The sequence below is a fragment of the Homo sapiens genome, chromosome 6, assembly GCF_000001405.40.
Source record: "Homo sapiens chromosome 6, GRCh38.p14 Primary Assembly".
Lineage (NCBI taxonomy): Eukaryota > Metazoa > Chordata > Mammalia > Primates > Hominidae > Homo > Homo sapiens.
The window spans coordinates 17,690,186-17,705,699 of record NC_000006.12 but is presented as its reverse complement, the minus strand read 5'-3'; the positions used below and the strand labels follow the sequence as shown (position 1 = coordinate 17,705,699).

The 15,514-nt window shown below is 42.9% G+C and overlaps 1 protein-coding gene across 3 annotated transcripts in view, besides 3 other annotated features; it reads left to right on the top strand.

Moving 5' to 3' along the window:
- The window catches only part of NUP153 (nucleoporin 153), a 91,889-nt gene that overhangs the window by 1,226 nt on the left and 75,149 nt on the right, over positions 1–15,514 (top strand). The gene's annotated exons all lie outside the window — the stretch shown is intronic.
- Positions 785–944: a silencer, noted in NCBI's record as "silent region_16965". NCBI's record gives its function as "represses an Ori minimal core promoter by ATAC-STARR-seq in GM12878 lymphoblastoid cells {active_cell/tissue: GM12878}" and the evidence as "EXISTENCE:reporter gene assay evidence [ECO:0000049][PMID:35858748]".
- Positions 1,461–1,630: a silencer, noted in NCBI's record as "fragment chr6:17704301-17704470 (GRCh37/hg19 assembly coordinates)". NCBI's record gives its function as "represses an EF-1alpha promoter that drives an FKBP-Casp9 reporter gene in an ReSE screen in K562 erythroleukemia cells {active_cell/tissue: K562}" and the evidence as "EXISTENCE:reporter gene assay evidence [ECO:0000049][PMID:32094911]".
- Positions 3,825–3,944: an enhancer, noted in NCBI's record as "active region_24114". NCBI's record gives its function as "activates an Ori minimal core promoter by ATAC-STARR-seq in GM12878 lymphoblastoid cells {active_cell/tissue: GM12878}" and the evidence as "EXISTENCE:reporter gene assay evidence [ECO:0000049][PMID:35858748]".

Below are 15,514 nucleotides of genomic sequence, written 5' to 3'. Positions count from 1 at the left end.
ATTGGCTTAGATTTTATTAACCAGGTTATAGTTAACCGTGGCACTGGGGCATTTTGAAAGTCCCTCTCCACCCTTACGTCTTTTCTCTGCTGCGCGACTCCCCTCCCCCCCCCCAACACCGCCACCCCCGCCTTTATTTTGGAGGCTGGAATTGGCCATTCTCCACAGTTGACCGGGACTCCAGCTCTGATCTCATACACAAAATATTTTAATATTATGAGGCGTATTCTAGAAGTATAGTTACTTTTGACACTCCAGGAATGTTGGTGGTCTTATAGTTTAGCCACTGTATGAACTCCTGGATGTTTAAAATTATAAAAAAGGATTATCCTAATTGTAAATGAGATAGTTGATTCTGAGAAAATTCCATTTTTAAAATATTGATTGTTAGAAGTATTGAATAGGAAAATGTTAACTTATTTTAATAAAGCCACTTATCAGTGATACTGAGGTGGGAAGTGTGTGTCTTAAATTTGTTGAAAAACAAAAGTGTAGCAAAAGGATCTGATAACTTGTTGCCTACTGTTAAAGGTAGACTTCCTAGATTACTTTATTCTGGATGCTAATAAAGATTACACACTTTCACATGGTTGATGTTGTTAAATTGTGTCATTATCAACAGATTTTTAAAAGTAAAGATTTGGGTCGGGCGCGTTGGCTCACGCCTGTAATCCCAGCACTTTGGGAGGCCGAGGCGGGTGGATCACCGAGGTCAGGAGATCCAGACCATCCAGAGACGGTGAAACCCCGTCCCTACTAACAAATACAAAAAATTAGCCGGGCGTGGTGGCAGGCGCCTGTAGTCCCAGCTACTTGGGAGGCTGAGGCAGGAGAATGGCTTGAACCCGGGAGGCGGAGCTTGCCGTGAGCAGAGATCTTGCCCCTGCACTCCAGCCTGGGCGACAGAGCGAGACTCTTGTCTCGAAGAAAAAAAAAAAAAGTAAAGATTTGAGGAATTTTTTTTTTTTTGTCTTCTAGTTTTCTTAAATGTTTTTTATTTTGAGGGAAATGTTTGAGTAGTAAAAATTGTGGTTCAGGTATTTTCAGTCGTTCTCTACTGATGGTTAGGTTTGGCACTGTTACTACTCCCACCAGTTTTCCCCCAGATATGTACATAAAGTGCTTAGTTTTCAAATTTGTGAAGAAAAGGGGTATTTGCGAGCAGATTTAAGATTAGAATTCAGGTCACAAGCCTGGCCATTTAACCTAATCCGTCTGTAGAATGGAAGTTACACATGCATGCTTTCTTTTCTCCTATGAATGCCTTTGAGTGCTTAGATTTTCTTGTATGACATGTAGAAAAATGACTTGTTTTAAATATAGGTCATTGGATGGTCTGAATAGAGGTTAGAAGGGAATTAATATTTTCCAGATGTCTGAAGTTATCACAGCTTTTTTTTTTTTTTTTGAGACGGAGTCTCGCTCTGTCACCCAGGCTGGAGTGCAGTGGCGCGATCTTGGCTCACTGCAAGCTCCGCCTCCCGGGTTAATGCCATTCTCCTGCCTCAGCCTCCAGAGTAGCTGGAACTACAGGCGCCCGCCACCACGCCCAGCTAATTTTTTGTATTTTTAGTAGAGACGGGGTTTCACCATGTTAGCCAGGACGATCTCGATCTCCTGACCTCGTGATCTCCCCGCTTCGGCCTCCCGAAGTGCTGGGATTACAGGCGTGAGCCACCGCGCCCGGCCCCTGATCACAGCTTAAATGTACTTAGATAAAATAAAAATCTAATTTTGGGGAGATGATGTCTTAACAGCATAACACCTATGATCCAAGGTGTCTTAGAGTTGATACGACTTCAGGCTGTGTAGTTTTGTTTTAAATCTTGATAATTTATCATTGCCCCTTATCTAAAATACTTTTGCTTCTTGTCCTATTTAATTAAAAAAGAAAACATATTTTAGCTTTTGAATTGGGAAGTAAAGGTATTTAGGGGTTTCTTGATCAACACTGTAGGTGCTATTTAATATTGGCAGAAACTACCACTACCCAAGGAAAGTATTCAGGTATATTCAAAAGAATACTCTCCTTTTTTTTTTTTTTAATCTTAAAAATAAGGACTTTCTTTAGTCCTTATTGAGGCTTTGGTGGACATAGGGTCTACCCACTTGCTGTTTATTATCCTAGGCTGTCAACTGGATGTTTTGCAGAAGCTGCTGAGTCATCATGAAGCAAGCTTCATGACATGGCATGTTTTATACTAATGTTATTTGATTAAGTGTCCAAGGGTTTCTGGGCAAAAATTAAGCTTTTGGTAGTATAGCAGAAAGTTGGAGTAAGAAACAATGAGAGGTCTGGCGCTGTTAGTTAATGGATGTTTGCCAGTGCCTGTCAGGGCAACTTGGCTAGTACAGTCACCCAGTACCTATGACTTCTGCATGTGTTCATTTGACTTGTAATTTCCTGTTTTGACTTCTGGGTTTAGCTCTCCTGGGAAATGCTGTAAGTTTACTACTTTCCTTCTTTAACTTATTTTTTTTTTAATTTTTTTTTTTTTTTTTGAGATGGAGTCTCGTTCTGTGGCCCAGGCTGGAGTGCAGTGGCTCGATCTTGGCTCACTGCAACCTTTGCCTCCTGGGTTCATTCCATTCTCTTGCCTCAGCCTCCCAAGTAGTTGGGATTACAGGCATGCGCCACCACGCCCGGCTAATTTTTGTATTTTTAGAGACGGGATTTCGCCATGTTGGTCAGGCTGGTCTCAAACTCCTGACCTCAGGTGATCCACCCGCCACAGCCTCCCAAAAGTGCTGGTATTACAGGCGTGAGCCACCGCGCCCGGCCCAAATTCTGATCTTTAAAATGTCATCTTGCATGAAGTTGTGCAGACAAATTCATTGTCTTGCTCAAATAACTGAAGAGTTATAAGGGTAATAACTCTTAAGAATTGTAGAAGCAAATATGAAGAACAGCCCTGAATAATGCAAGCTGATCATTCTTACTTGCCTTCTCCCCTACCCCTTTACCTTTTTGCCTAGATGCATTTAGGAAATGGTGTCATTTTTCTTTTCTCCTTTCTTTTTTTGAGACGGAGTTTTGCATCTGTTGCCCAGGCTGGAGTGCAATGGTGCAATCTCGGCTCAGTGCAACCTCTGCCTCCTGGGTTCAAGCTATTCTCCTGCCTCAGCCTCCCGAGTAGCTGGCATTACAGGCATGCGCCACCACAAACGGCTGATTTTTTTTGTTTTGTTTTTGAGACAGAGTCTCGCTCTGTCACCCAGGCTGGAGTGCAGTGGCACGATCTCTGCTCACTGCAAGCTCTGCCTCCCGGGTTCACGCCATTCTTCTGCCTCAGCCTCCCGAGTAGCTGGGACTACAGGTGCCTTGCCACCACGTCCGGCTAATTTTTTGTATTTTTAGCAGAGACGGGGTTTCACCGTGTTAGCCAGGATGTTCTCGATCTCCTGACCTTGTGATCCACCCGCCTCGGCCTCCCAAAGTGCTGGTATTACAGGCATGAGCTACCTCGCCCGGCCAGAAATGGTGTCATTTTTCTAGTTGAGAGTGAATAGGTAACTGAAGAGAATGTGGTTAGTTCCTGTCTTCCTTTTCCATTTCCTTTTTGTTCAGATTGTCAGGCACAGAAAGTCAGCTCTTTGGAGAGGTCAGGCTGCTTGCTTTTCTTAGTAACCACTACAAAAAACTTGAGTCCATGGGCAAACCAGAACCTACTGCCACCTCCTGGTGAGAGGAAACCACTTATTTTTGCCCTTTTTGTCCCGGGATGGGGGTGGGGTGGGGTGGTGTGGGTAGTATGCTTCAGACATTTATCTTCTGGTTTAGAGCTAAGGGACTCCGCCTTTAATCCTCCTAGATATAGTTTGTCTTACAAGTCAGTTCCTGCATTTAGCTTTTTTCCCCCCCCCCCCGAGACAGAGTCTTGCTCTGTTGCCCAGGCTGGAGTGCAGTGGCACAATCTTGGCTCACTGCAACTTCTGCCTCCCGAGTTCAAGCAGCTCTCCTGCCTCAGCTCTTGAGTAGCTGGGATTACAGGCGCAGGCCACCACGCCTAGCTAATTTTTGTATTTTTTTTTTTTTTTTGAGATGGAGTCTTGTTCTGTCACCCAGGCTGGAGTGCAATGGTGCGACCTCGGCTCACTGCAACCTCCGCCTCCTGGGTTCAAGCAGTTCTCTGCCTCAGCCTCCCGAGTAGCTGGGACTACAGGCACGTGCCACCACGCCCAGCTAATTTTTGTATTTTTAGTAGAGACAGGGTTTCACCATCTTGGCCAAGCTGTTCTTGAACTCCTGACTTCCTGATCCACCTGCCTTGACCTCCCAAAGTGCTGGGATTATGGGTGTGAGCTACCACACTCGGCCTAATTTTTGTATTTTTAATAGAGACTGGGTTTCACCAAGTTGGCCAGGCTGGTCTCGAACTCCTCACTGCGTGGTCTGGCCTCCTCGGCCTCTCAAAGTGCTGGGATTATAAGCGTGAGCCACTGCACCTGGCGCATTTAGCTTTTTTTTTTTTTTTAGACAGAGTTTCGCTCTTGTTGCCCAGGCTGGAGTGCAACGGCACCATCTTGGCTCACTGCAACCTCCACCTCCTGGGTTCAAGCAACTCTCCTGCTTCAGCCTCCCAAGTAGCTGGAATTACAGGCATGCGCCACCACTCCCAGCTAATTTTGTATTTTTAGTAGAGATGGGGTTTCTCCATGTTGATCAGGCTGGTCTCGAACTCCCGACCTCAAGTGATCCATCCACCTGCCTTGGCCTCCCGCGAAGTGCTGGGATTACAGGCATGAGCCACTGCTTAGCTATTTTTAAAAAGGGGAAGGAAACCTCTTTATCAGTAGCTTAGATCAGGGGTCAGTAAACTTTTTCTGAAAGGGACACAGATAGTGAATTTTTAGGCTTTGCTGTGGTAAATTGTCCTTTGTTTTGTTTTTAAAAGTCCTTTAGCAAATGTAAAAACCATTCTTAGCTTGTATGAAAAAAGACCAAGGTCTGAATTTGGCCCAGCCCACAGGTCATTGTTTGCTATACCATGGTTTATATGATAGTATTGTTTTTATTTGTTTTGGTAGCTTCTTTGTGATACTCTGTCCCAAATAAGTATGTCCTGCCTGGTATCTGATAGCTGGAGTGTTCTCAGATTTGAAAAGGAGGGATATTTAGAGGTCGAATATTTAAATCATTCCAGAAGTCACCAAGTTTTTAACTTTTATTTTATCCTTATTTGCTTTATCCTAGATGCTTAATATAATCAGTGGGAATAGAAATGGAAACATTGATAGGATTGGATAGTTGATAGGATAGTTGTTAGGAAAACATTGTAGTGTAATGGAGTCAGCCTGAGTTTGGATCCCTGTTCTGCCTGGACTTGGACAAGTTAATTTACTCATCTGTAAAGTGAAAATTGTTGTGGAGGTTAAATGGGACAAGTGAAGATTTTAGAACAGGACCTGGCATATGTATATAGGTAAGGAGTTATTAAAAATTGAGTCCTTATTATATATATGCAATTGAAATTTGAAATTAAATAGAACTGTTTGATTTAGGATCTTTTTTTTTGTGGGAGACCACAGTTTTATTATTACTCAAATTAGTCTCCTGATTTAGGGTCTTCATATTGTCTCTGAATTTTCCTGCTTCTTATCAGAAGTTTTGTTTCCTTTAGGTGACTAAATTCAATACTTGCATGTATTAAATTGTTTAATGCAAAGTAGGTGTTTTGTTTGTGATGAGAGGTTTTGTGTGGTATTATATTAATTTACTTAATTTTTCTAATAAGTGACAAAAAAGTCCACTTGCTGTATCCATTTTCTGGGAAGTCCCTGACAAGGCAGATATCTTAGTTTGAAGTAAAATAAAAATTGTAGTCTGATGTCACTAATTAAAACTGTTTACTTTTCTTTTTTTTTGAGACAGAATCTAGCTCTGTCACCCAGGCTGGAGTGCCATGCTGTGATCTTGGCTCACTGCAGTCTCTGCCTCCCAGGCTCAAGGGATTCTCCTGCTTCAGCCTCCTGAGTAACTGGGGTTACAGGTGTGTGCCACCACGCCTGGCTATTTTTGTATTTTTAGTAGACACGGGGTTTCACCATGTTGGTGTGGTGGTCTCAAACTTCTGACCTCAAGTGATCTGCCCTCCTCGGCTTCCCAAAGTGCTGGGATTACAGGCGTGAGCCACCTTGCCCAGCCAAAACCATTTTCATTAGGCACAGAGTATTGCAAAGATTGTAATTATCTTGTATTTTCTTTTTTTTTTTTTTTTGAGACGAGTCTCGCCCTGTCACCCAGGCTGAAGTGCAATGGTGCGATTTCGGCTCACTGCAACCTCCGCCTGCCAGGTTCAAGCAATTCTCCTGCCTCAGCCTCTGGAGTAGCACGCACCATTATTCCTGGCTAAGTTTTTATATCTTTAGTAGGGACGGGGTTTCACCATGTTGGCCAGGCTGGTCTTGAAGTCCTGACCTTGTGATCTGCCTGCCTCAGATTCCCAAAGTGTTGGGATTACAGGCTTGAGCCACCACGCCCAGCTAGCTTGTATTTAAAAAAAAAAAAAATTATTTGTAGCTATTTAGCTTATCTTCATGGTTGTAATATATTTTTAAAAGATTCTTCTGTGTTGGGAAGTTTGGTTTCAAGTCTTGCTGACACATACCATTTACTGTCAGAAACAGGATGATAGGATGCCTTTTCTATCTATAGATATTTCAGTTTGCTTGATTTTGCATATCTTTTTCTTAGTGTGATTTAAGAAACAAACTCTTACTCCCAATTTTCAAACATGTTACCTGAGAAAAAGTGTGATAGTATCTTGTAGGTAACTTTTAGTGAGTTTAACTACTGTGAGCTTTTATTGAGTTTTCTTTTTTTTTTTTTAAGACAGTGTCACTCTGTTGCCCAGGCTGGAGTGCAATGGCACGATCTTGGCTCACTGCAACCTCCGCCCCGCTCTGGGATTCAAGTGATTCTCCTGCTTCAGGCTCCCAGCTCTTTTTTTTTTTTTTTTTTTGAGACAGAGTCTTGCTCTGTCGCCCAAGCTGGAGTGTAGTGGCGCGATCTCGGCTCACTGCAAGCTCTGCCTCCCGGGTTCACGCCATTCTCCTGCCTCAGCCTCCCAAGTAGCTGGGACTACAGGTGCCCACCACCACGCCCCGCTAATTTTTTGTATTCTTAGTAGAGATGGGGTTTCACCATGTTAGCCGGGATGGTCTCAATCTCCTGACCTTGTGATCCGCCCACCTCGGCCTCCCAAAGTGCTGGGGTTACAGGCGTGAGCCACCACGCCCGGCTGCTCCCAGCTAATTTTTGTATTTTTTCGGTAGAGACAGGGTTTCGCCATATTCCCCAGGCTGGTCTCCAACTCCTGGACTGAAGCAGAACCCCTGCCTTGGCCTCCAAAGCACTGAGATTACAGGCGTGAGCCACGGTGCTTGGACCTGAATCTAGTTTCAATAATCTGAATTTAACATCCAAATCTAAGACATTATTGGTTGTATTTTATAAGCCTATGCCATTCAGCAGCGAAGTTTACCCTATCCAATCAGTCCAAGTCCTCTAGCCATTTAAAGTACTTTTCTAGCTGAAGAATTAAAAACCTGCTCCCTGGGAGAATAAGATTCCAGAACCTTAAAACTGATGATGGACTGCATTTGATATTTATAGTTAAAGATCCAGTGAAACTATTTGAGAAAGGAGATTTTATAATCTGAACACTGCTAAGGATAATGTGAAGAAAAGGGAGTTGAACAGAACTGAAGTCAAGAAAACTAGTAGGAAGAAAAGAGCTTTGTATAGAAGGAAGGAAGGATATATAGGAATGACAAGGAGTTGGCCATACTGAAAAGATGCCTCTGGTTATTCCTGTGAAAAGGTTTATAAGAAAAGAATGTCGTTAATTACAAGTGAGTTCTGAGTTAGTGTTATAGAATAGCCTTCCCCCACCCCAGCTGTTTCTGAGTTAGTGTTATAGAATAGCCTTCCCCCACCCCAGCTGTTTCTGAGTTAGTGTTATAGAGTAGCCTGCCCCCACCCCAGCTGCCTTTCATTAATCCTTTTTTTTGAGATGGAGTCTCGCTCAGTCGCCCAGGCTGGAGTGCAGTGATGTGATCTCGGCTCACTGCAACCTCTGCCTCCTGGGTTCAAGCAATTCTCCCTCCCTCAGCCTCTCAAGTAGCTGGGATTACAGGTGCCTGCCACCACGCCTGGCTAATTTTTGCATTTTTTAATGGAGACAGGGTTTCGCCATGTTGGCCAGGCTTGTCTTGAACTCCTGACCTCAGGTGACCTGTCTGCCTCAGCCTCCCAAAGTGCTGGGATTACAGGCATGAGCCACTGCGCCCAGCTCATTAATCCTTCAACTCAGGTTAAATATAATTTGAAAAGCTAATGTATTCACAATACCTTATACGTTGAATGTTCCTGATATGTATGTAGTATTGAATTCTAATCCCCAGATTGAATTTTTAATTAGTCTAAATCTCAGTGGCATTTTTGACATGTTTTGCCAAATGAAGAACCCTTCTTTCTTGGAGAGAGAATACCCAGTGGATTTAGCCAGTTCACATTCTAAAATTCACTCCTTTAATCCTTGAACTTAAATTTATTATTTATGATTATGAAGTGTGGACTTTGCTTTAGGGCCACAGAGTATTTTTTAAGATTAATTTTTTTTTTTTTGAGACGGAGTCTTGCTCTGTAGCCCAGGCTGGAGTGCAGTGGTGTGATCTGGGCTCACTGCAACCTCCGTCTCCCAGGTTCAAGTGATTCTCCTGCCTCAGCCTCCTGGGTAGCTGGGATTACAGGCGGACACCACCTGCCAGCTAATTTTTGTAGTTTTAGTAGAAATGGTATTTCACCATGTTGGTCAGGCTGGTCTCAAACTCCTGACCTCAAGTGATCTGCCCACCTCGGCCTCCCAATGTGCTGGGATTACAGACGTAAGCTACTGCACCTGGCTGTTTTTTAAGATTTTATTTATTTGTTTTATTTTTTTGAGATGGAGTCTTGCTCTGTGGCCCAGGTTGGAGTGCAGTGGCGCCATCTTGGCTCACTGCAAGCTCCGCCTGCCGGGTTCACGCCATTCTCCTGCCTCAGCCTCCCGAGGAGCTGGGACTACAGGCATCCACCACCACACCCAGCTAATTTTTTATATTTTTAATAGAGACGGGGTTTCACCGTGTTAGCCAGGATGGTCTCGATCTCCTGACCTTGTGATCCACCCGCCTCGGCCTCTCAAAGTACTGGGATTACAGGCGTGAGCCACCGTGCCTGGCCTTGTTTTTAAATCTTAAAGCACTTTTCAGGTCCATACAGAAAGCTTATTTCCCTCATGCCTGCTTATTTCCTGTAAAGACCTGAAGAACTCTTCTCTCAAGAACTCCTCAAAACATAGGTGGGTTACATTGGGCCTTCCTTGGTAGTAAGGTCAAAGGAACCTTTTCTTCCATAAGAAAACCGTTTTTCCTCTTGTCAGACTCTTTTTACTCTTATTTGTTAGTGGCTGAAGTCTTTAGTACTTCAAAACTCTTTTAAAAAACTGCCAGTCAAGGAGGTACCTCTCCAGATCTGTTTGGTAGGCAGGGTCCCTTAACTTTTTTGGGGTTGGTTGGTTTGTTTGTTTTGAGACAGTTTCACTCTTGTCACCCAGGCTGGAGTGCAATGGCACGATCAACTGGAACATCAACTTCATTTTATTTTCAAAAAATTGTTCCAGTATTTTCTTTTTCTGTTTTTTTTTTTGAGACGGAGTCTCACTCTGTCACCCAGGCTGGAGTGCAGTGGTGCAATCTCAGCTCACTGCAAGCTCCGCCTTCCGGGTTCACGCCATTCTCCTGCCTCAGCCTCCTGAGAAGCTGGGACTACAGGTGCCCGCCACCATGTCCAGCTAATTTTTTGTATTTTTAGTAGAGACAGGGTTTCACCGTGTTAGCCAGGATGGTCTCGATCTCCTGACCTCATGATCCGCCCACCTTGGCCTCCTAAAGTGTTGGGATTACAGGCGTGAGCCACCGTGCCCAGCCCCCTGTTAACTCTTGATAGTCTCCTTTCCAATACTGTGCATATTTCTTTTCCGTAGTAGTTTTTTAAAAATTTCTAATGTCTTATAGTTGGCTGTGCATCATAAACACATATTCTGTGTAAGTCTTTAACGGTGGAAATCAACTCGAAGGTCGGCTTTTATGTTAACTTCTCATTGATTTTTCAGAGTTGATATTAAAAATATGTTTATAAATATGTGTTTGGTAGACAATAAGATACTAATTAAAATGGTGGTCTTTTAGGTAAAATTCTATTGTAGTTAAGCTTATAATCATGGTTATGTATACCAAGGCCTTAATTAGAATAACAGGTCACTGAGTTTTTGATGGTTTCAGTATAGTGGTTCTCAAACATTAATTTGCAGAAGAATCAAATTCAAGAGCTTATTAAAATAAATTTGCCTTTCTAATGAGCTCATAGGCTACACCAATGCTGCTGATCTGAGAACTACACTTTGAGAACCACTGTTTTAGTCCTTTTATAAGTGACTAGATATATAAACTACAGAACTAAAGATTACACAGATTGTCACACATGGGTATGCACACAATTTAAAGGGAATTTTGTGAGATTTAAAGCTATTTTAAGTTTTACTAGATTTAGCATTTATTGATAAGGTTACCAGAAGCTTTGAATTGCATGATCCAAGGACACGCCTGTATTTGGGTCTTAGCACCTTTTTGTTCGTTCAGTCCATAGTACTTCCCACTCTCTCTTTTTTTTTTTCCTTGAGACAGAGTCTCGCTTTGTTGCTCAGGCTGGAGTGCAGTGGCGTGAACTCTGCTCACTGCAACCTCTGCGTCCTGGGTTCAAGCGATTCTCCTACCTCAGCCTTCCAAGTAGCTGGGTCTACAGGTGCCCACCACCATGCCCGGCTACTTTTTTTTTATTTTTAGTAGAGACGGGGTTTCACTATGTTGGCCAGGCTGGTCTTGAACTTCTGACCTCGTGATTCTCCCTCTTCAGCCTCCCAAAGCGCTGGGCTTATAGGAGTAAGCCACCGTGGCCCCAGCCCCATCCTTTATTTCTTTTTCTTTTCTTTTCTTTTTTGTGAGACGGAGTCTTGCTCTGTCACCCAGGCTGGAGTGCAATGGCGCGATCTTGGCTCACTGCAACCTCCGCCTCCCAGGTTCAAGCGATTCTTCCCCCTCAGCCTCCTGAGTAGCTAGGATTACAGGCATCACCATCATGCCCAGCTGAATTTTGTATTTCTGTAGAGACAGGGTTTCACCATGTTGGCCAGGCTGGTCTTGAACTCTTGACCTCAGGTAATCCGCCCGCGTCGGCCTCCGGAAGTGCTGGGATTACAGGCGTGAGCCACCGGGCCCAGCTCCTATCCTTTATTTCTTTATCCCAACCTTCATCTCTGTAAAACAGTACATAAATGGACCAGAAAAGGGTCTTTATCCTGGTGAATATTTTAGAATCTATACTAACTCATGGAGGTAAAGGCAAACATTACTATTCTTCATTCAATCAATACTTGCTGATCACATACCACATGTCAAGCATTAAATACAGAGGATACAGCAGTGAACAAGTTCCTGCCTTCTTGGAGCTTATGTTCTAAGTTAGGAAGACAAGGAAACAAGTAAACATAATATGTAACGCATAAACATATAATATGGTGATTCAGTGCTATCAATAAAGTAGGTGGAATGGGATACCCAATTTTGAAAAAAATATAGAAAAAAAGTTTTAATAAAAAATAAAGCTGGGAAGCAAAATGAGATGGGTGTCCTATTATATAAGCAAAGACCTGAAAAAGTAAAGAGGCCATGCAAATTTCTACTAGAGAAGTATTAGGCCAGGCGCGGTGGTGGTGCACTTTGGGAGTGCTGGGATTACAGGCTGGAGTGCAGTGGCACGATCTCAGCTCACTGCAACCTCTGCCTCCTGGGTTCAAGCGTTTTTTCTGCCTCAGCCTTCCTAGTAGCTGGGATTACAGGAGTGTGCCACCACACCCAGCTAATTTTTGTATTTTTAGTAGTGCTGGGGTTTCACCACGTTGGCCAGGCTGGTCTCAGCTCCTGACTTCAAGTGATCTGCCCGCCTCGGCCTCCCAAAGTGCTGGGATTACAGGCGTGAGCCACTGTTCCCGGCCTCAAAGGAAGTATCTTTAAGAAGGGTCTACTTAGAGATATGCTGGTGGTTAATGGAATAAATACAAGATAGCAAGATACCCAGAGACCAATAGCAGAACGCTACTACCTTCTCTAGGACTGGAAGAATACAGGGAAGAAATGCTGTAACTGGAGTGGAGGGGTGCTGGAGTGGTAGTTTTGGAGATGGAGCAAGATTTAAGCAGGGAGGAGCACAAAAAAAGACCTCTCTTTACTCCCATTCTCTAATATCTAGTGTTTAATATCTCTCATGGGGCAGTCTTACCAGAAACCAGTTGGTAGTGCAGTCCATAGAAACAGCCTATCAAAAATGGGCTGAGAAAAGGGCAAGTGGATACCAGCACAGCATCAAATCTGTGATTTTATAAGTGTGTGTGTGTGTGTGTGTGTGTGTGTGTGTGTAGGAAAAAGCTAAATTTTAAGAAAAGTGAGTAAAGAAAAACTTTAAATCCAAGTGAGTGGATTCAGAGAAAAACAGTATAGGTGAAAATCATGGCTAAAGTTTGGGAAACACTAGGAAAATAATTTTATGAACTGTATGTATTTAGCACAGTCTAAAATGGTCTGTAAGATTTGTTTACCTGATTCACTTTAGAATATTTTCATTATAATCTTAAATATTGTCTGACTAGTGCTCCACATGTATATTTTTTCTAGATAACTGAAGATTAAGCCTTTCAAGAATGCACAATTTTATTCATCTGTTTTGGAGGGGCTTCTCTAAAATGTATCTTAATTTCCTGAAATGTATCTGATTTCCAATATTAGAATCACTTCAGAGGGCTTGATAAAACAGGTGGGACCTACCTCTGGAGATTATCCTACTAAGGGCTGGAGAAGGACCTGGGATGATGCTGATAATACTGCTAAAAAGGGATCACACTTTGAGGACCACTCAATTATATTAAGCTTAATTTAACTTTTTCTTAATGACTTAGGGTCATTTAACCTACAAAGGTATATTAGGGTATTGAAACACAAGGATGTTTGTTCCTTCATACTGGTTCCAGGTCCATTTTATTATTTTCCTTCCTTCTTCCCATCCTCCCTCCTTTCTTTTTGTCTTTTTGTTTTTAGAAACAGGGTCTCTGTCACCCAGGCAGGAGCGCAGTGGTACAATCATAGCTGACTGCAACCTTGAATTCCTAGGCTCAAGTGATTCTCCTGTCTCAGCCTCCCAAGTAGCTAAGACTACAGGCCTGTGCCACAGTTCTAGCTAATATAGCCTGCATTCCTTTTTACTCCTCATGCTGTCATTCACTGTGCCACTAGTAATGTCTCTGTCTCACTGTTCCTCTATTAAGCTCTTCTGGGCTGAGACTAGTTAAGTTGGTTAAATTTTAGTATAGAAAATCGGTCTGTAATCTAAGTTCATGTATTTTAGTGAGTGAGCTTTATTATATCCACTTTGACCAGTTATGTTTTCCAGTTGTTTTTGAAGATACCTAATGTTGCCACATGAGGGATCTATGAGTGAGGGTGGAGCCAATTTAAAGTTGTTCTATACTTGCCTTCCAGATGGATAGGGATCACAGGAATCTCTGATACGTTTAGTAGCTAAACACCTTACTTGAAGTCCCCCAAAAAATTTTTAAATCTACATTAAATTCTAGAATTGCTATAGCTGGATGTGGTAGTCGGCCTGTAGTCCTGGCTACTTGGAAGGCTGAGATGAGAGCCCAGGAGTTTGAGGCTGCAGTGGGCCATGATCACGTGCCATTGCACTCTACCTGGTATGACACAGGTCTCTGGAAAAAAAAAAATTCTTGCTATAGTGCTTTAGCTAGCCTGTCACCTATATCAAGTATGTCTTTGTTTTTAAGTCTTTTTTTGTTTTTCTGAGCTGGAGTCTCGCTGTGTCACCCAGGCTGGAGTGCAATGGCCCGTCTGCCTCCCACGTTCAAGCGATTCTCCTGCCTCAGCCTCTCTAGTAACTGGGATTACAGGCATGCACCATCATGCCTGGCTAATTTTTGTATTTTTAGTAGATACGGGGTTTTGCCATGTTGGCCAGGCTGGTCTCCAGCTCCTGGCCTCAAGTGATCCACCAGACTCGGCCTCCCAAAGTGCTGAGATTACAGGCATGAGCCACCACGCCCAGCCTTAAGTCTGTCTTAAACTGTATTATAGCTTTTAAACACTTTCAAGTCTTGAAGTATGGAAATGGGATAAGTAACTAGTATTAGGTGTGTTTTTACAAATATTAAATATTGGATATAGGTATATAGGCTTTCTTTCCATAGTAACTAATACTGTGTAATATTAGCAAAGAAAAAGGGAACAGTGAATTGGTGTTGTTCAGTAGTTAGTGTTCTAGAACTTGGCTTCATGTGTTTGATAGAGAGCTTACTTGTAGATCTATTGAAAATTTGCACAATACATGGAAGAATAATTACATGCTTCCCAGTTGCTACCTATACCTTTCCTTTTTTTTTCTTGAGACGGAGTCTCGCTTTTGCTCTGTTGCCCAGGCTGGAGTGCAATGGCGTGATCTTAGCTCACTGCAACCTCCATCTGCCAGTTCCAAGCAATTTTCCTGCCTCAGCCTCCTGAGTAGCTGGGATTACAGATGCACACCACCACACCCGGCTAATTTTTTTTTGTATTTTTAGGAGAGGCGGGGTTTCATCATATTGGTCAGGCTGGTCTTGAACTCCTGATCTCATGATCCACCCACCTCGGCCTCCCAAAGTGCTGGGATTACAGGCGTGAGCCACCACGCCCGGCTACCTTTTCACATAGTAAGGAAATTACTATTCAAGTGCCTGTATCAGAAATGTCTTCCATTTTTTTTGTTGGCAGGATATTTTAAGGCCTCTGTCTTGAGTTTCCCTTCTAGGTAGATTTATATATTCTGCCTTGATTTTATTGTTTTCTGTACCTACTGAGTCATTTTTTTCCTTTCTTTGACTCTTTCTTTGAAATCCTACTAAATCTGCTTCGTGAAATAAATTGTTGCCTAAAATCGGTTACCTTACCCCAGTTTATTGCCAGCTTTTTTCCTTGTTAGTAAAAAAGTTTTCAGTATGTTTCTGTTATACCTTGTAAATTGATACATGCCTTCACATTATTTCATTTGATTTTCATTATAATTACTATAAATAATAGGAGGCAGTGTTATTTTACCTAGAGTAAATCAAAGTACAGGGAGGTCCTCCAATTTTACCCTAGGTCCTGGCAATCCCAAAGCCCATACTTTTTTTTTTGAGACGGAGTCTCGCTCTGTCGCCCAGGAGATCTTGGCTCACTGCAAGCTTTCTCAAGCAATTATTTTACTGCACATTCGGCTCACTGCAAGCTACGCCACCCGGGTTCACGCCATTCTCCTGCCTCAGCCTCCCGAGTAGCTGGGACTACATGCGCCCGCCACCACGCCTGGCTAATTTTTTGTATTTTTAGT